Source organism: Homo sapiens, chromosome 5, assembly GCF_000001405.40.
Source record: "Homo sapiens chromosome 5, GRCh38.p14 Primary Assembly".
In the NCBI taxonomy this organism is placed as follows: Eukaryota; Metazoa; Chordata; class Mammalia; order Primates; family Hominidae; genus Homo; species Homo sapiens.
Window position 1 is genome coordinate 65,230,828 of NC_000005.10, and position 21,882 is coordinate 65,252,709.

The following is a 21,882-nucleotide window of genomic DNA, read 5'->3' on the forward strand; positions in this document are numbered from 1 at the left end:
TAAATATATATATAATACATATATATGAAATATATATAATACATATATATGAAATATATATAAAATACATATATATATGAAATCAAAGCATACTACTACAGAAAATCATCAAATTACAAAGGAAGACAGCAAAGAAAAATAAAGGAACAAAAAAAGTCTACAAAACTGCCAAAAACAATTGACAAGATATAACTAGTAAGTAATTATTGAAAAATAATTACTTTAAATGTAAATGGATTAAATTCTACAATGAAAAACAAAATGAATTTTTTTTAAAAAAAAACAAGACAACTCTATATTGCCTACAAGTGACTCACTTCAGATTTAATAACACACATAGTCTAAAAGTTAAGTGATGGGAAAATATATTCCATGGAAACAGAAACCAAAAGAGAGCTGGGAGAGCTATACTTATATCAGACAAAATAGGCTATTAGTCAAAAACTGTAATAAGAGACAAAGAAAGTCATTATATAATGATAAAGGAGTCAATTCATGAATTCAGTACAATTTACCATTGTAAATATGCACCCAACATTGGAATACCTAAATATATAAAGCAATATTAAAATACAATGAGAGAAATAGAAAGCAATTCAATAGGAAGATACTTCAGTAGTCTACTTTCAACAATGGATAGATCATCCAGACAGGGTACCAATAAGAAAAAGATGCACTTGAATTATACTTTAGAGCAAATAGAATAAATAGACATACAAAAAATTCCATCCAGAAGCATCAAAACATACTGTCTTTTCAAGCCCACACAGAAAATTTTCCAAGATACATACATGTTAGGCCACAAAACAAGTCTTAACACATTTAAGATTGAAATCATATCAAGTATTTTTCTGACCACAATGGTATAAAACTACAAATCAGTTACAAAAAGAAAACTGGAAAATTCACAAATATGTGGAAATTAAAGAACATGCTCCTGAACCATCAATGGGCCAAAGAAGAAATAAAAAATTAAATCTAAAAGTATCTTATGACCTGTGGCCAGGTGCAGTGGCTCACACCTGTAATCTCACCACTTTGGGAGGCTGAGGTAGGTGGATCACTTGAGGTCAGGAGTTCGAGACCAGCCAGGCCAACATGTTGAAACCTAGTCTCTACTAAAACTACAAAAAGTTAGCTGGTCATGGTGGTACATGTCTGTAATCCCAGCTACTCGGGAGGCTGAGGCAGGAGAATCACTTGACCCTGGGAAGTGGAGGTTGCAGTCAGCCAAGATTGCACCACTGCCCTCCAGCCTGGATGACTAAATGAGATTCTGTCTGAAAAACAAACAAACAAACAACAACAACAAAACAAACCAACAAGAAACCTTATGACAAATAAAAATAGAAACACAGCATTCCAAAACTTATGAGATGCTGGAGATGCACTTCAAGGAAAAAGGATTATAGCAATAAATGTCTAACATGAAAAAAGGAGAAAGATTTCAAACAACTTAACTTTACATCTCAAGGAACTAGAAAAGGAAGAACAACCTAACCCCAAAGTTAGAAGAAGGAAGGAAATAACAAAGCTCAGGGCAGAAATAGATAGAGAAAATAAAATAAATTGAAAAGATAAACAAAATTGAGTTGATTTTTTTTAAGATAAACAAAATTGACATACCTTTAGCTATACTAGGAGAGAAAGAGAAAAGCCTCAAATAAAAATCAGAAATGGAAGAGGAGACATTACAACAGACACCACAGAAATGCAAAGGACCATGAGACTGCTATGAACACTTATATGTCAACAAGTTAGATAAACTAGAAGAAATGAATAAAGTTCTAGAGACATAAAACAAAGACTGAATCATGAACAAATAGAAAATCTGAACAGAACAATAATAAGAAGAGAGGTTGAAACAGTAAAAAAAAAAAAAACCTCTCATCAAATAAAAGTGCGATACCTTATACTTCACCAGTGAATTATACCAAACATTTAAAGAAGAATTAATACCAATTTTTCTCACACTTTTTCAAAAACATTGCAGAGAAGGGAATACTCCAAATACATTTTATGAGGGCAGCATTACCCTAATAACAAGCCAGACAAAGATACTAACAGAAAAGAAAATTATAAGCCAATATCCCTGATGAACATGGATGCAAAAGTTTTCAACAAAATACTAGCAAATTAATTAAATGGCAAAAATTAAAAGGATCATTCATCATGATCAAGTAGGGTTTATCCTGAGGATGCAAGGATGGTTCAACATACACAAATCAGGCACTGTAATACACCATATTAACAAAATGAAGGACAAAATCCAAATGATCATTGCAATAGATGCAAAAACAGCATCTGACAAAATTCAACATGTTTTCATTATAAAAATTAAGTACAGAAAGAATATACCTCAACACAATAAATGTCCCATACAACAAGCCCACAGCTAACATCATACTCAGTGATGAAAGGCTGACATTTTTTCCTCTAAGATCAGGAACAAGGTAACGATGCCCATTCTCACTACTTCTATTCAACATAGTACTGAAGTCCTAGTCACAGGAAGTAAGCAAGAAAAAGAAATAAAAGGCATGCAAGATGGAATGGAAGAAGAAAAATTGTCTCTGTTTGCTGACAACATATTCTTATACATAGAAAACCCTAAAGGCTCCACCAAAAAACTGTTAAAACTAATACAAAAATTCAGTAAATACGGATACAAAAATCAACATACAAAAATCAGTCCATTTCTATACACTAACAATTAATTACATAAGATAGAAATTAAGAAAACAATCTTATTTACAATAGCCTAAAAATACTTAGGTATAACACTGATGAAAAAAATTGAAGAAGACACAAATAATGGAAAGATGTCACGTGTTCATGGATTGGAAAGATCAATATTGTCAAAATGTCCATACTTCCCAAAGTGATCCATGGATTTGATGCAATCTCTATGAAAATTCCAATGACGTTTTTCACAAAAATAGAAAAAGCAATCCTAAAATTCATATGAAACTAAAAAGGACTCCAGATAGCCACAGCAATCTTGAGCAAGAACAACAAAACTAGAGGCATCACACTTCCTGATTTTGAACTATATTACTAACCTGTAGCAATCAGAACAGTATAGTACTTTATTAAAACAGATAAGTAGAGCAATGGGACAAATATTAAGCCTGAAAATAAGCCCATGCATATATAGTCAACTAATCTTTGACAAAGGTACCAAGAAAATAGAGTGAGGAGAGGGCAGTCTCTTCAATAAGTGATGCTGGGGAAAATAGATGGTCACGTGCAAAAAAAAAAAAAAAGAATAAAGAAAGAAAAAGAAATTGGATACTTATACCATACACAAAAATCAACTGAAATGGGATTAAAGAATTAAACGTAAGACTACTAGAAGAAAACATAAGGGCAAAGCTCCAGCACAATGGTCTTGGCAACGATTTTTTGGATATGACACCAAAAGCACAGACAAAAAATGCCAAAATAAACAAGCGAGACTATGTCAAACTAAAAAGTTTCTGGACAGCAAAGGAAACAATCAACAAAATGAAAAGGCAATCCACAGAATAGGAGAAAATACCCAAAACATATAAGGAACTCATACAACTCAATAGTAAAAAAAAAAAAAATCTAATTAAAAAATAGGCAAATAATGTGAATAGACTTTTTTTTTTCCCAAAGAAGAGATACAAATGGCAACAGGTACATGAAAAGGTGTGCAAAATCACTAATCATCAGGGAAATGCAAATAAAAACCACCATGAGATATTACCTCACACATGTTAGGATGGCTATTACAAAAAAGTCACAAGATCACAAGTGTAGGTAAGGATGTGGAGAAAAGAAAACTCTTATATACATTATTGGTGGGAATGTAAACTGGCAGTGCCATTATGGAAAACAGTATGCAGCCTTCTCCAAAAATTAAAAATAGAATAACCATATGATCCAGCAATCCCACTTCTGGGTATATATCCAAAGGACATGAAATCACTATCTTGAAGAGATACCTACACTCCCATGTTCATTGAAGCATTATTCACATTAGTCAAGATATGGAAACAACCCAAGTGTCTGTCAACAGATGAATGGATAAGAAAATTGTTTTATATAGACATATGTAATGAAATATCATTCCATCTTAAATAAGAAAGAAATAAAGAAATCCTGGGGCACATAATGCTAAGTGAAATAAGCCAGATACAAATACTGTATGATCTCACTTATATGTGGAATCTAAAAAAGTCAAACTCATAGAAACAGAGAGAGCTTATCAGGGATTGGGTGGAAATAGGGAGATGTTGCTCAAAGGGTACAAGCTTTCAGTTATAAGAGGGATCAGTTCTAGAGATCTAATATAGTATAGTTAAGAATAATGTATAGTATACTTTAAATTTGTTAAGAGAGTAGATCTTAGGTATTCACATCATACACACAAAAAAGGTAAATATGTGAGGTGACGGATACATTAATTAGCTTGATTATGGTAATCATTTCACAGCATATATGTATATCAAAACATTACATTGTACACCTTAACTATATACAATTTTTATTTGTCAATTATATCTCAGTGAAACTGGGGAAAGAAAGGTAAGGCTGTTGTGATGGTTAATACAGAGTGTCAACTTGATTGGATTGAAGGATACAAAGTGTAGATCCTGGGCGTGTCTGTGAGGGTATTGCTAAAGGAGATTAACATTTGAGTCAGTGGCCTGGGAAAGGCAGACCCACCCTTAATCTGGTTGGGCACAATCTAATCAGCTGCTAGCTAGGCTAGAATATAAGCAGGCAGAAAAATGTGAAAAGAGAGACTGGCCTAGCCTCCCAGACTATCTTTCTCCCATGCTGGATGCTTCCTGCCCTCGAACATTTGACTCCAAATTCTTCAATTTTGAAACTCAGACTGGCTCTCCTTGCTCCTCAGCCTGTAGATGGCCTATTGTGGGACCTTGTGATCGTGTGAACTAATACTTAATAAACTTCCCTTTATATATATTCCATCAGTTCTGTCCCTCTAGAGAACCCTGACTAATACAGTTGTTAATTCCAGAAAGAATTTAAAATGATTTTCTAAATGAAAGGTCATATTAACCAATTACCTTAAGTTAATGCTTAGTATGAATTTAGGATTAATTCACTTTGCATGAAATTATGTAGATGGCAATTATTAAGTCTGTAAATTATTTCAGACACTTCTTCTTCTCCTATACTATGGCAAAACAATCCCAAAGGTATATGCACCTAATAAAAAAGATTCAAATACATGAAGCAAAATCTTTTTAAAAATGAAAGCAAAGCCATATAATAGTTGGAGATTTTAACACAGCACTCTCAATAATTGATAGAATGAGAGTAGAAAAAAATCAGAAAGAATATAAAAGATTGAAAACAACATTCTCAACCAAGTTGATCTCATAGATATCTATAGAACACTATGTAGCCAATAACTGCAGAAAACATTACTTTCCAAGTATACACAGAACATTCACCAAGAAAAGAGTATTCTCTAATCTTTTTCTTTCTTTTTTTCTAAGACAGGATCTCACTCTACAGTGGTGTGATCATAGCTCACTGTAGCCTCCACTTCTCGAGCTCAAGTGATCCTCCCACCTCAACCTCCTGAGTAGCTGAGACTACAGGCATGTGGTACCACACCCAGCTAATTTTTTATTTTTCGTATAGACAAGGTCTCACTATGTTGCCCAGGGTGGTCTCCAACTCCTGGGCTCAGGAAATCCTCCCAACTTGGCCTCCCAAAGTGCTGAGATTACAGGCATGAGCCACCACACCTGGCCCATTCTCTAATCTTAATGCAATTAAATTATATATGAACAACAAGAAATTCTAGAAAATTTCAAATATTTGGAAATTAAAACAAAACAGTTCTAAGTAACCCAGAGGTCAAAGAACTCACAATGTAAATAAAATAGTTTGAACTAAAAGCTATAAAATATAACATCAAATTTTGGAAATGTAAAAGAGCGAAAGAAACTGAAAATAGATAAGAAAATAATAACTATAAGAGCAAAAATTAATAAGCTAGAAAAAAGACAAATTACAGAAAAGAGTACCAAAGCCAAAATTTGGTTCTTTGAAAATATTAATAAAATTGATAAATCCCAAACAAGACTGACCAAGAAAAACAGTGAAAACACAAATTATCAATACCAGAAATGAAAGCATACATCACTACATATTTTATAAATATTAATATTAAACGGCATAACAAGAGAATGTTATGATCAATTTTATGTCAATAAACTGGACCACATGGATATAACATAAATTTCTTAAAGACACAAAATAAAAAACTGAAATAAGGCCAGGCATGGTGGCTCACACCTATAATCCCAGTACTTTGGCAGGCTGAGATTGAAGAATCCCTTGAGCTTAGGAGTTTGAGAACAGCCTAGACAACATAGGAAGATGTAGTCTCTAATAAAAATAAAAATTAAAAATTAATTTGCCCAGCGTGGTGCCTAGCTACTCAGGAGGCTGAGGAGGGAGGATCTCTTGAGCTCAGGAGATTGAGCCTGCAGTGAGATATGATTGGGCCACTGCAGTGCAGCCTGGGCGACAGAGGGAGACCTTGTCTCAAAAAAAAAAAAAAAAAAGAAAACTCCACAAGAAAATAAAATAAAATAAAACAACCATATAGCCCTTTTCTCTTAAGGGAGTTAAATTTTTAATAACAGGTTTTCACAAAGAAAATATCAAGCCTGGCTGGTTTTACTAGTGAAATCTATTCTAAGGAAGAGATAACACCAATCCTAAAATTCTTTTAAAAATAAATAAAGATTCTATTTTGGGAAACCAGAATGCATCTGATACCAAAACTTAGCAAAGACATCATAAGAAGAATATTTACAAATTACAAGAAAAATATTTACAAATTTAAACACAGATGCAAATATCCACAATAAAACATTATCAATTAAGTTAAATACAATAACACATAAAAAAATACATCATGATCACATGGGGTTTATCCTAGAAATATAAGCTTGGTTTGAGGTTGGGCCTGTTGGCTCACGCCTGTAATCCCAGCACTTTGGGAGGCTGAGATGGGTGGATTGCTTGACCCCAGGCATTGGAGACCAGCCTGGGCAACATGACAAAACCCCATCTCTACAAAAAATACAAAAATTAGCCAGGCATGGTGGCACACACCTGCAGTCCCAGCTACTCAGGAGGCTGAGGTGGGAGGATGCTTGAGCCCAGGAGGTTGAGGCTGCAGTGTGCTGTGATCACACCACTGCACTCCAGCCTTGGCAACAGAGCAAGACTCTCTCTCAAAAAAAAAAAAATCTTGGTTTGAGATTGTCAAATCTATCAGGTCACTCAGCATATTAATAGGATAAAGAATAAAAAATACAATCAATACATGTACAAATTATACTCTAGGCCCAATCCAGTGCATTAAGGCAAGAAAATGTAATAAAAGGCATAAAGATTCAAATAGATTGTCTCTATTTCAGGACAACATGACTGTTTAACAAAAAAATTCTGAGCATCTGTAAAACAATTAGAATATGGGAATTTAGGCTGGATGTGTAATTCCAACACTTTGGGAGGTCGAGTCATGTGGATCACTTGAGTCCAGGAGTTGGAGACCAACCTGGGCAACATGGTGAAACCCTGTGTCTACAAAAAATACAACTAGCTGGACATGACAGTGTGCGCCTGTAGTCTCAGCTACTCAGGAGGCTGAGGTGGAAGGATCGCTTGAGCCCAGGAGGTGGAGGTTTCAGTGAGCCGAGATTGCGCCACTGCTCTCCAGCCTGGACAACAGAACCAGACCCTGTCTCAAAAAAAAAAAAAGGAATATGGGAATTTAGAAAGGTCACAGAATACAAAGTTAATATACAAATGTCAATGGAATTTTCAAAAGTTTTATTAACAATAGTGTCAAAACCATAAATCACTCAGGAATCGATTTAGTAAAGTACATGCAGGACCTTACACTTAAAGGAAAAACATAGCTGGGAGAAATTAAAGACATAAATAAATTGAGGGATATACCATGTTCAAAAATTGTAAAATTCAATAGGGTTTAATACTCAGTTTTTCCCTCAATTGATCTATAGATTCAACATAACACCATTCATAAGTCCAGCAGGTTTTTCTGCGGACATTAACAACTGATGCAAAAATTTACATGAAAATGCAAATCAGTTAGCATATTGGAAGAACTCTTATAAAAAACATCAAAGTTAATGGAACTTAAACTACCTGTGTTCCCGCATATTCTCACTCATAGGTGGGAATTGAACAATGAGAACACTTGGACACAGGGAGGGGAACATCACACACCGGAGACTGTTGTGGGGTAGGGGGAGGGGGGAGAGATAGCATTAGGAGATATACCTAATGTAAATGGCGAGTCAATGGGTGCAGCACACCAACATGGCACACGTATACATATGTAACAAACCTGTACATTGTGCACATGCACCCTAGAACTTAATGTATAAAAAAAAAAAAAACTGTGTTCATGACTATACTCTAGTTATAGTAATCAAGTCAGTGTAGTACTGGCACAGGACTGACAGATCAACAAAACAAAACAGAAAATCCATAAATATACTACAGATACAAATCATACCAAAAATTATTTTGAGATAGATCATAGATGTAAATGTAAGGACTAAACAATAAGACTTTTGGAAGAAAACATATGAAAATATTTTCTTAAGTTGAGGTAGGCAAAGATTCCTTAGGACACAAAACACAATGACCAGAAAGAAAAATTATTTAAAAATTGGAATTAAAAACAGAAAAATTAAAAGCTTATATGGATAAAAACACCATTTAAAAAGCAATGGGAAAGCCACAGAATGTGACAAAACATTTGTAAAACTTATAAATGACTACCACTTGAGAAGGTAAAACAACCCAATTAAAAATAGGCAAAAGATTTGAATAGACAGTACAAAAGGAGATATATAATGGCCAATAAATATATGAAAACGTGCTTAACATTATCATGAGAAAATGGAAACGGAAATTTCACTGAAATACCACTCTACTCCCACCAGAAGAAGACTGAAAAGACCAAATATTGACAAGGATGCACAACAAATAGAACCCTCAGACATTGTCGGTGAGAGTGAAATACGCTACAATCACTTTGGAAAAACATCTGGCAGTTTCTTTTAAAACTAAACTAAATTCACATGTAATCTATTGCCCAGCAATTCTACTCCTAAGTATTTACTCAAGGAAAATGAAAACATATGCTCACAAAATGATAGTACACAAATGTTCATAGCAGTTTACTCATAACAGCTAAAAACTAGAAACAACCCAGGTGTCCATCACAGCAGAATGGAAAAACTGGTTATTATGATGGAATACTGCTCAGCAATAAAAAAGAATAAACTTTTTTTTTTTTAAGAGAACTCCTAGACCCAAGTGATTCTCCCGCCTCAGCCTCCCAAGTAGCTGGGCTTACAGGTGTCTGCTACTGCGCTTGGCTAGAGTGAACCACTTCTATATACAGCAATGTAGATAGATCTCAAAAACATTAGGCTTAAAGAAGATTTACAATAGAATATGAAGTTCTGGAACAGGCAAAACTAAACTATGGTGAGAAAAAAAGTCAGAATGATGGTTGTCTCTTAGGAGGAGTAGGGAGAGGCAACTATTGACTGCAAAGGACTATAATGACTTTTATGGACTGAATGTTTGTGTCCCCCCAAAACCCGTATGTTGAAATCTTAATCCCCAATTTGAAGATGAGGCCTTTGGAAGGTAACTAGGTCATGACAGTGGAGCCCTCCGAATGGGAATAGTAGCCTTATAAGAAGGATCCCAGAGAGCTCTTTTCCCCACGCTTTCTGCCACATGAGGATACAATGAGAAAACAACAGTTCACAACCCAGAAGAGGGCCCTCACCAGACTCTAACCATGCTGACACTTTGATCTTGGATTTCCAGCCCCCAGTACCGAGAAATAAATTTCTATTTTAAGATCTCCAGTCTATGGTAACTTGTAATTACAGTCCAAACTGACTAAGGCAAAGATTAGAGGAATTTTGGAGGTAAAGCCAATGTTCTGTATCTCAATAGGATTTTTTAAGTATGTGCATTGGTCAAAAACCAGAGAAAGCATAGTTAAAATTTTGCATGTCACTGTACATAATCTTGCCTTAACAGAAAAAAGTAAACAAATAATTGAACTGTGGATAATGTTACCATGCTGAAGTACTTAGAGGAAAGTACATTAATGACTGCAATTTACTTTGAAATACATCAAAAAGTACGATGGATTAATAAATGGATAGGGAGAAGAACAGACATGTATGAAGAAAGTATAGTAAAACGTTAATGGTAGAATCTTGGTGGTAAATATAAAGTTGTCACTATAAAATTCTGTTAATATAAGATACTGGAAAAGCAAGCAAACAGTAAACTTATCTTAAGAGTATATTTCCTTTTTTTTTTTTTTTTTTTTTGAGATGGAGTCTCACTCTGTCGCCTAGGTTGGAGTGCAGTGGCGTGATCTTGGCTCTCTGCAACCTCCGCCTCCTGGGTTCAAGTGATTCTCCTGCCTTAGTCTCCCAAGTAGCTGGGACTACAGGCACATGCCACCATGCCCGGCTAATTTTTGTATTTTTAGTAGAGACGGTGTTTTGCCATGCTGGCCAGGCTAGTCTCGAACTCCTGACCTCAGGTGATCCACCTGCCTCGGCCTCCCAAAGTGCTGGGATTACAGGAATAAGCCACTATGCCTGGCCTCCAAGAGAAATTTTCAGCAAAATGTAATTTATATTTTGGGAGTGTAAAATACTTCTACTTATTGAACAATCAGTGCCTGATACATGCCCAAATTAAAGAGCAAAAATGTTTTCTAACTCTGAAAAAGAATAACAATAATCTTGGCCTTTGACTAAGCAACGACACAGAGTTTCCTGATTTATATTCTTATAACTTGTTTTAGGGTGATAATTGCAAACATTTAAAGATTATAATGTAACTTACATATACCCTAAGGAAGCCTCAAGCAGAACTCAAAAAATACTACATGGTTTTGATGTCTAGATATCCTTTCAAGGAATTTTATACCTTGTTAAACATAATTAGGTTTTAAGAAATGATTTCTGATCATTTGTACTAATATATAAACCTTATTACAGGGCAAATAAACCATGAAGCCTTTATAGTACTATAAGCATTTCCCTGCTTTTGTTGGCAAACACTAATTTTAACTAGTATGTACATGAATGTATGCATGTGTTTGTATATATTTGTATATTCTTTGATATTTGCAAAGTGCTCAAGCATGAATGCTCTGTCAGGTTATACATTACCTCCAGTATAGGGTTTCCAGTTATAATACTTTCCTCGGAAAGGCATATTGTCAAAGTCTGCACACTGTTTCTCTCGAAAATCTCGGGAACCCAAAGGGCATGGCTAAAATAAAATAAAATCATAAATGGTACCATTGTTGGAAAATACCAAAAGCAAGGGACAATGTCCCTAAAATGAACTCCATCAAATTAACTCACTACCTTATTCTGTGGCTATAATTCTGGCATTTGCTTTACTGTTTTACAATCCGTATTCAGATTGAAGTGTGTGAATTATAATCTTAACTATAGAAGATATAACTGAAGTAATTTAAACAAAGCGTTACACAATTTCCCTATAAATTTACAGTTGGATACATGTCATAATCCTCTTTGTAGTCCATCAGGTATCTCCTTATAAAGACACATAAAACCTAGATGAAGAAATTAAAACACAAAATCCTTTGTGTTAACAGTTTTTGAGGTCCAGTTGCCATAGCTACTCCCTGATCTTTATTTTAAAAAATCAAGAAGCAGGTTTGTAACAACATTCAGCACTATTAATTGTGGTTTGGACTCCTACTACTATAGCTATTTACTGTTTAGCCTTGACAAAAACCATACTTTAAATGAGGAATAAAGTAGGCAAAATGCTAGACCTCAAGTATAAACATCTTGAAATTAAAGGGATTTGGACTTATTATGATTTACATTTAATTTATTAACATCACAGAAAATAAAATACAAAATGGCCCAAAACATGTACATTTGTTTGAGGTGTGGAGAGGGATGTTAAGAGGGTGAAAAAAGGATTATCTGTTTTTAAAAGTTGGAAATGTTCCTTCTATTCAGAAATGCTTCTGAAGTTTTTTAAAGAGAAAAATCCTGCCAATCCAGCTAGCTCTAGATTCTATATACCACAGGGTCATCCTAAACTCAACCTTTAAGTTCACAAAGAATTATAAAGCTCATAGTGTTTGAGTGATGTGACTTAATTTGACTTATCTTGTGAAGTTCAACAGCTGTAGTACTTAAAAACTAAAAATATTGATTTTGAAAGACTGACAGAAAATATTCTCCTAAAATATGGAAAAAAAGAATATGTCACTAGAGAAAATTCTGAATTGGGAATAAATAACAAGTATGTTACAGGCACACTCAGAGATTGTTTTGAGGCTTTTTACTACCCTCCCTTAGATCTCTGTGTTTGCTTTATATAGTTTTCTGAGGACAGTACATTGTAAATGGTCACTTTGAAGAATATGCAGTAACAATAGACCACAATGTGCAAATATTTGCATGGTCATCATTACTTCGTATATAATACGGTTCAATTTTCACCACATCAAGTCCAAAGCCTCAGATTCTGAAAATAGTGGCAGCAGGTTCACACTCTGTTATGAGCCCTGCATTTTAAAATGTTTTTAGCACATTAAAATATGACATTCCAATGCCAAATCTAGTGATTAATCTTGTTAAATTACCTTCTTGCTTGCCTTTAAAAAAAATGAAAAATATTTACCATAGGCTAGTAGGTGTATCAGGCTGGAAGGATATGTTTTCAGGGTCTTTTTTTTCCTGGTCTGCTAATCTTTGGATCTTCAGAGTGCTCTAGGTTAAAGGAATCCTTGACTTTTCAAGCTATTTTTAGTGAATCCCACACAAGGACTAAAGTTGTTAGTGACTTTTGTCATGCAGCAGACTACTTTTAAAAGCAAATAACGATTTCAAAAACAAACAAAAAAAACAAACAAATAATTTGAACTCTAGCTATAAGTTTTCACACAGCACTTAAGTATTTATAAAGCACCAGTCACCTAAAGTTCATCCAAGCATGGCTTTCAACTTTGTTGGAAAAACAAGACACAAATGGAAAAACGACCATGAAAAAAGAACCATCTCAAGCAATATATATAGCATATGACAGCATGTTACAGATTGTCTATATGTGCTGGATACAAGTGAAATATAAATGTGTCCTATGATTAGCTAGGGATATATCAGTTAAGAAAAACATCTTCAGCAGGTACCAAAGTATTATAGAAATTGTTCTAGTTAAGAAAGAAAAAGGACTCGTCAGGGAGTGGGAGACTATTAAGAATGAAGCCAAGAAAAGCCATGGGAATAGGAAGGAAAAGTTCACATATTGGGAATGGTTGGAAAAAGGCCAAGCTAGATGAAAGAGATGAACTATATAGAAGCATAAGAGGAAATGATATTTCACATGCATAAGCACTGGTACATTAAAAAGACCTTGAATTAAAAAACTAAGACATCATGAAGGCCGTTCGCTTAAAGGCAAACGAAACAAAAATGCAATTTTTCAGTATCTTCTAACAATTCTCCTAAATGGAAGAAAAATAAAATGTCCAATATGGGGATATTACTATTTAATGAAGCACTTGATAACATTTCATGACATTTTTGATCCACTTTTTTCCTGTGATAACCACTCTCAGGGTGAGCATAATAAAAAGATTAACAATAACAATAGCGAGCTAGTATTTACTAAGTACTTATTATGTGGCACACTGTTCCGGGATCTTTAGATATATTATCTATATACTCCTTCTCAACACTCTTTTGAGGTAGATATAATTAATAATCTCATTTTACAATGAAGTAAACTGGGGTACAGAAAGGTTGCTTAGTAATAGTTTCAGCGTACAAGGATACTTTCACGATAAGTGTGGGAGTCTCCTCTGGACACTCTCCAAATGCTACAATAATAGCATTACAGGTTTTAGCTTCCTTAAAATGTACAAAAACCTAATAGGAACAATTTGGGTTCTAGACTTGGCCCTGTCATTAACCAGATGCAACTTTCTTATCTTTCCAAATTACGTTTTTTCTCACTTGTAAAATGAGAGGGATAAAAGCAAGAGTTTCGGAGTAAGGCAGACCTGGATTATGTCTAATTTGGTCATTAATTTAATTCACGGCCTTGAGAAATTTACTTGTCTAAGCCTCATCTATAAACTGGGGGTAATACTCGTATTTACTTCCTAGGCAACATATTCACACAAACTGTTTAGCTCTGTACCTGGCCTAAGGTAGCACTTAATAATTATTAGCAGCTACGCAGGTGTCCTTACACTCATTCCTTACTCTTCTACTCTGCTCTATATTTTAGGGGAACAAACCCTGAAAGCTCCACTTCCCAGGCTTTTTTGTCAGCTGACTTATGGTTGGGTTCAGGTAATGGGAGGCACTAGTTGGAGAAGCCAGGGTATTTTTCTCCTTTCCTCTGTGCCTTGGGCAGCAACTCAGGCAGAAGAAGAATCTTTTTTGTAGCTCCATCTTCAGGTAACAGTTCCATCCTCCCTACCCTTCTACCCTATGATTCCAGCTTCTGCTGTGTGATTCTAGCCTCTGGGCTCTGACAAAACTACCTCTTATGTATCTTCCTGGAAGGAACTAGTCAGACTCTCATCATCCATGTAATCAATTTCCTGCATTAAATTCCCTCTATTTTAATAGTCAGAGTGGTCTATTATATTATAGCTAAATTTTAATTGATACAACAGTTATCATCATCATCATCATCATGAACTACTTGGAAAACTGAATAAAGATAGGTTTCCACATAATATTTTTTCGCTTTAGGGCAGAAGTTGTCAAACTTTACCTCTAAAGGTCCACATAGTAAATATTTTAGGCTTTGCAGGCCATGTGTCTCTGTTGCAACTACTCAACTGTGCATTATAGTGTGAGAGAAGCCACAGACAATATGTAAATAAATGGCCATGGTTGTGTTCCAATAAAAATACTTACAAAAAGAGTTAACCAATAAGATTTGGCCTGAGAGGTACAATTTGTCAACCCCGGTATAGGGTGTTAACATAATATAGATATATTTGTTTGGCAGCATTTCACAGAACCAAACTCAATTATTAATTTCTCAGTCAATATAGAATCATACCTTTTAAGAATTCAGGTTAGAAGTGACATAATCTAATTTGCATAAGATGCTTGGATTTCCTCTATAATTATCTCCAAAGCGGTCATACAATCTATATAAACATCTACAGAAAAAAAGATCAAACACTTTTCAAACAGCTGCAATTATTCGCAGGTTCTTCCTTACTTTCAGTCAAAACCTGCTGTCCTATAACCCAATTATCCTTCTCCTTTCTTCTGGATCCACACTGAACAAATCTTACCCTAAACTGAAAGGTATCTGGACCTTGATGGCTTTCCTACGGGCACATCATAACTTACTGTTAGTCCTCTTAAAACAAGGCAGCAAGGACAGGCCTTAAGTATCTTCTCATTTTAGCAAGTATTAATACAATGCTTAATAGCTGGCAGATATAATCTAGGCTGCAGGGTTACAGAAAAACAAAACCCAAATAGATTAGAGTTCTGCTTTCGTGGAGTTTACTCTAGTTGGAGATGAGAAAGAAGAAAAATAAAGCAAGATAAGGAGATTGACAGTGAGGTGGGAGGGAAGTTTTTTTAAACAGTATGATCAAAGAAATCCTCTCTGATAAGGTGGCATTCAAGTGGAGAGTGAAAAGGAACTGAAGGAATGATTTATGTACATATCTGTGAAAAGAATCTTCCAGAACACAGTAAATCCAAAGGCCCTGAGGCAGGAGTGTATTCAGGGTGTTCACAGAATAGTATAGAGAATGGAAAGGCTTCAGGGAATTGAAGTAGACTTGGGGACTTGATTCCACGCCATTGTTTCTAGAATACATCAGCCAATATTCTGCTTTCCTGATTTCATTCCATCAGGGAATGCTCTGAATTTGCGTTGATTAAAAATAGACTCAGTTGGAATTATATATGCTGGTTTGAAAAAATGAGAGTGAAAGAGGAATTCCTTAAGGAAAAATTACGTAAAACACATTTTTGTTTTGTTTAGGAATAGTAGAGGGTTTAAAGAATAATGCTTTTTAAATTACTTAAGGATAATAAATGCTGACACTATGCAGAAACCATAACAGAAAGCAGTGGGCATAAGCAACAGATATTTAAAGTAAAAGCCTGACAGATTTTCAGCCTTCTAGTGCTAACACTCACCAAGCGTCTTCTCCTTTAAAAAACAAACTAGCAGGGCCCCACATAAATCTGGAGAGCAAAGCTGCAGGTCTCAGCATCTTTAGATCTTAGTATTTTCAAAGAAATAAATTAATAATAGCATCTTTATCACCACTCTCTTTCCCAGAGATCTGTATAAGTTAACAATAGTCTTCCAACTATCTTGTTTAGAAGTATCTCCTTCTGACTAAACTCAATACTTTGTACTGGTAGACAAATCTAAAAAAAGGAATAATTCATTGAGGCCTAAAAGTTGCTACAGAAAGAAATCTAGCTTCTGCTTACAAACTTTTTAGTGGCATTTCTATTACTGGGGTTCTAATCCTGGTTTTGTCCCAAAGAATAGGGTGACGTTGGCAAGTCCCCAATCCTTTTTGTGCCTTTTTTTCATTTGCAAAATATACCCCCAAAACTCTTACCTTCAAGAGAAATACACATCAAAATGTCTTGAAAATGAGGAAAATTCTGAAAATGATGTATCATTTCTTATTGGTAATATGATAAGACAGCCAAGAATGAAAACGCCTTTGTCCCTTTCCCTTTCCTTTCCTCTCCTCCTCTAAAGGAAGATATGCAGGCTGGAAGGATAGAATGACTCCTATGGCCTCAGGGAAAATTGCAAACTGAGCAAAACTGGTCTTCTGTTCATCTGCTTCCTTTCTCTACTCCTTTTGCACCTTCTGCTTCTTCCTTTTGCTTTCATACCAAATTCACTCTTGCGTCATCCCTGTTACACTAGATCAACCTTCAACACTTCCAAAATTTCATTTTCTTCTTCCTCTACAGGAAAACAACATATTCTTAGTAGATTGCCCCCTGTTTGTTGAGGGAGTTTGAAATCCAACCCCTGCCATGCTTAGCAAGTCATGCACTTGACAAGGCACTGTGAAAGGATACATTTTTATGTGTTCACCCAGATGGGCATCTTTTTATAAATTACACAAAGGTACCATATGCGCTAACAAAAGCCTTGCTTCTATACCCTCTTTTAAAAGTTGCAAACAAATTTCCTGACTCCCTAGTTATCAGATAGTACTGATAAAGTAATTCATACTAGGGCATTCAAATACAGTTAAATTTAGTGGTCAATGCCTGTAGTGAAGCATCTCAACCTCAGTTTTTATTCAACTTTCTTCTCTTTTTTCTCCCAAATAGTTTCTGATTTTTTTTCACTATATATTTACTTTTAAAGCAAAAGAAAACAAGGGCAGATAACCCACATTGTCCAGACAAACTTGAATGTAGTGTCATGCTTGATACTATAATCTTCTATGCAGGTTTTAAAAATTAAAGTTACTTGTATATGCCTTAAATAGTCTGAATTTAATTAAAATGCCATCTACCTACAGCAAAACTCTTTCCCTGAGCTTATAAACACATTAAAAAACAGGTCAGGCATAATGGCTCACTCCTGTAATCCCAGCACTTTGAGAAGCCAAGGCAGGGTGGATCGCTCGAGTTCAGGAGTTTGAGACCAGCCTGGACAACATGGCAAAACCCTACAAAAAATACAAAAATTATGGTGGTGCATGCCTGTAGTTCCAGCTACTTGGGAGGTTGAGGTGAGAGGATTGCTTGAGCCTGGGTGGCAGAGGTTGCAGTGAGTCCAGATCATACCACTGCACTCCAGCCTGGGCAACAGAGCCTGACTGTCTCCAAAAAAAGGTTAAGAAACAAAGTTTTACTTTGTAATTTTTAAAAGTATTTTTAAAGCACAAAATAAACAAACAAGCTCTATTTTGTGCTAAAAACCTAGTCCTTATTTCTCAAAACATAATAAATACAATATACCATAAATATATATACAATACATCATAAATATATAAATACACCATAAAATTCATATTAAGAAAGATTACCAAGATATTGTTCCTGTTTTTTGCCGTGTGTGTGTGTGTGCGCGCATGTCTGTCTGTGTGTATGTTACAGGTAGTTAGATAGGCATGAGCAGGGTAGGAAAGGGCTCTCCTCCACCCACTAGGAATGTCAGGTGACAGTTTGGCAATTATTATATTGCCTCTCTAAAAGTGATAAACTGGCAGCTGGTGCCAGGGAGAGGCCATTTCCTGATGGTCCACACCTGTTGCACTAAAGTGTTAACTGAATGCACGTGCTGGGGAGAAGCAACTTCCTGGGCATGCACATTAAGAGACAAAATGGTGGAGTATGACCTTCCAGGGTCACTCCACCAGAAAAAGGAAGAAAAGCTTCAGATGAAAATGCGTACAACTTCCTAAACACATTGGGAATGCTCACCTCCCAAGGGCAGGAGTGTACTGCATATGTGGGCAGCCCACCCTAAGGGAAGAATCATGAGAAAGGGGCCAGCCTATTAAGTTCTAGGATGAAGGTTAAACACTGCACTTGACCTTGGTGCAGTCTCTTCCAAGCATCGTTTCCTTTCTTTCCTGTTCTAAAGCCTTTTAAATAAACTAAATAAACTTCTGCTCCAGCTCTGAAACTTGCCTCAGTCTCTTTTTCTGCCTTATGCCCCTCAGTTGTATTCTTTCTTCTGAGGAGGCAAGAATTGAGGTTGCTGCAGACCCATAGGAATTCACCACTGGTAACTCGCATACCTTCTACCAGTAACATATATAAAGTATGTTTATAAGAATAAAGTGGTTGACACATATTTGTTTTCTAATTATAATTTAAGACATGATTATAACACTGTTCATCAATGGATCAACTCTGTACCTTGTCTTCACTTACCCTGCAACTCTCCCTGAGGGCAAGATGTGTAGTTTCAGAATGTTCTCAGCTATCTGGTTCTCAGCTAGCTATCTGGTGAGGTTAGACTGGAAGTAAGACAATGTCTAAGGTGACCCAATTCTTTCAGAAAAGCTTACCTTGCCACACCCACCTCCCAAGGGCTTCATCTCTTTTAAGAGCACTAGATAGAAATTCCATGCTTTACTGGATCTCTTTCACAGCATTAGCCTGTTGCTAAGCTTTAGTTTCCTCTTTTTAAAAATACTTGTCTTTCCTCTTCAGAAAAGTGATTTGAAGATTTGATGAGGTATTGAATACCAGTTAGGTACTAGGAATAGCACTAGATGTTTTATGTATGTTACTTCTTTTAATTGTCAAACAACTCTGCAAGTTTCATACAGCCTATTTATATAAGAGTCAACAGAAATTTAGAGAGGTTAGGTGATTTGCCAAGGTCAAATAGCAACATGTGTCACAGTCAGGATTCACACTCAAGTTAATTTAACTTCCAACTGCATGCTTTTATTTTCACCACAATCCTACTTCCAAATATATAATTTTCCTGTCTGCCACAACCAAAGCAAAAACACTGTTTAATGATCTTAGGCAATGCATTGAAAAGGAAAAAAATTGCTGAATAATATACTCCTCTAGCAGAGCTGACTGAGAACACACCCAAGTACTACATAACCTATACTTAAATCTTAGAACAGACCACAGATGACCTGGAAAACCCTTTTCCTCCATATATTTTTATAGCTTTTATGCATAAAGAAGGGAAATCAAATGTTTAATATGCAAGAATAATGTGCCTTTCCATCCCAGCCAAAGTGGAGCTTATATGTTTCACCAGAAGTTCTATCATAATCATATTATCAAGTAAACACCAAATCACAAGTAATATGGAATAAGAAAAATACAAAGATCATTTTGTTTTTGGAAAACAACTAAGCACCAGGAAACTCCTTTTAGAAATATGGAAAAGTCCTTTTCATAGTAGCTAATATTTCTTCTTTAGGCTTTGATATGAAATTTGGTTTATAACCTTTATATAGCCATATTTTTACTCTTTACAAAAAGTAAGTTTTCTAGTATTCACAACACTAACCTTTAACTTCTGCTACTTAAAATAGTTACAATATGTACATCAATTTGTATCCTCTTAGAACATTCTGCATGATAGTTTTAGGTCATTTGAATGAAAAATTGTTCAGAAAAACAGAAATGCCTGATTAGTAGTCAGTGTTCTTTAGGCCAGTAAAAAGAAGATTCCATATACATAATAATTAAAAGTATATTTTTGAGCAGCTCCTAAGCAAACATTTTTCAGAAGATTGAGCACAGATCTGGGGTCTTCACTTTTCATAATGGCTCTGCCAGAAAATCATGTTAGTTTCTACCTTTGCATATTTATAAAAACTGTCAGGACCTAATCAACCATTTATCTCTATGTGCAAAAACGAGAACTGTGTCAGTCAATGAACTCTCAAGCATTATGAGTTCCATAAAATTCTGCCCTCCAAACCCAGGTTCCAGAAGGCCATGTCTATTAGATTAGCTCATGATGCCAAAAACTCTATTGTAGTTCCTGGCTTAATAGAAGGACCAAATTTTATCCAGTTCTCCTATATATCTTTAATAAATGCTCCTGGTTTCTCAGTAGCTTCAAGATGAAAAGTGTATTAATTTGTTCCTACTGCAGCTATTGTCTTTACCTGTTATTCCAGCCTGGAGACCATAATGTGTATATCAAAGAAAGGGTCCTTGTGTAGCTGCTTTTGAAGACTTTCTAGGGTGAAAAACAGTGATGCAGGAAACCAACTGCCCATCCAACACATCCTGATGCAACTAATCAGCCTCAGAGTCTAGTAACTGAATACCTTCGGCATCTAGGCTAATTATGTTGCTGTTGAGAGTGGGCAGGACAATTTTACAGCTTGACATCCTTTTCTGATCTATTCTTAAATTCTTAGAATGAAAGTTTTGTCTTCATAAGTTGCTTCTTCTATCTCTGTGGATCTTTTCTTTGAAATCGGGTTAAGAGGGATAGGAGTTAATGGCAACCCTGTTCCCTTTCCACCAAAGAGCTCTCTTCTCTTCCTACCATTTCTATACCTCTTAAGTGTTTGGGGTAGAAATTAAATCAGCATTAGAAAGAAACTGCAGATATACTGTTTTTGTGCTTGCTACTTTTTAAGACTACTTGGCCTATGTTGACTCTAGGTCCTAATTTCTCCATTAACCTAAGCAAAAAAGAGTCCTATAAGCCTTGTATGTTTCAATCTGATTCACCAGTGTAGGGATCCACATAGGAGGAATATCAAAGCTTCAAAATAATAAAGTATTCCTTTTTGGTTGCGGATGTATCTCCTTTTCTCATGACCACAAGACATTATGAATCTTAGAACTGATAACATTTGTCTCTTTACTTGGGTTACTAGGAATTCCGCTCGGAGCAAAATTTGTGACCAATCTTTTTTTTTTCTTTTTTTGAGATGGAGTCGCGCTCTGTTGCCTCAGCCTCCCGAGTAGCTGGGATCACAGGCGCCCGCAACCACGCCCGGCTAATTTTTTGTATTTTTAGTAGAGACGGTGTCCCACCATCTTGGCCAGGCTGGTCTTGAACTCCTGACCTCATGATCCACCTGCCTTGGCCTCCCAAAGTGCTGGGATTACAGGCATGAGCCATTGTGCCTGGCAATTTTATATATATTTTAAATTATATATATTTATATTATTTTCCTTTTCCTCTGATCTTCTAATTTATTATATTTTTTAGTTTTGATTTTAATATAGTGCTATAAGCTAACAACTCTAACCAGAGAGTTATAACTAATAACAATTATTATTATTATATGTAAAACCATGA

At 35.4% G+C, this 21,882-nt stretch overlaps 1 protein-coding gene and 1 pseudogene across 15 annotated transcripts in view; both read right to left on the bottom strand.

Moving 5' to 3' along the window:
- The window catches only part of ADAMTS6 (ADAM metallopeptidase with thrombospondin type 1 motif 6), a 333,183-nt gene that overhangs the window by 82,090 nt on the left and 229,211 nt on the right, over window positions 1-21,882 (bottom strand). For 13 of the 15 annotated variants that reach the window (NR_135689.2, XR_007058575.1, XM_011543117.3 and 10 more), the window contains one exon: window positions 11,277-11,379. The exons of 1 other annotated variant lie outside the window; for it this stretch is intronic. Coding sequence is in view for 11 of the 14 variants with exons in the window: in XM_011543117.3 (XP_011541419.1) it covers window positions 11,277-11,379 (103 nt within the window). In the remaining 3 variants the exon portion in view is untranslated. Of the gene's footprint in view, window positions 1-11,276; window positions 11,380-21,882 lie in introns of those variants that run through there. One more of the 15 variants, XR_007058576.1, reaches the window with a different exon arrangement.
- Window positions 20,302-20,954, bottom strand: RPEP1 (ribulose-5-phosphate-3-epimerase pseudogene 1; annotated as a pseudogene).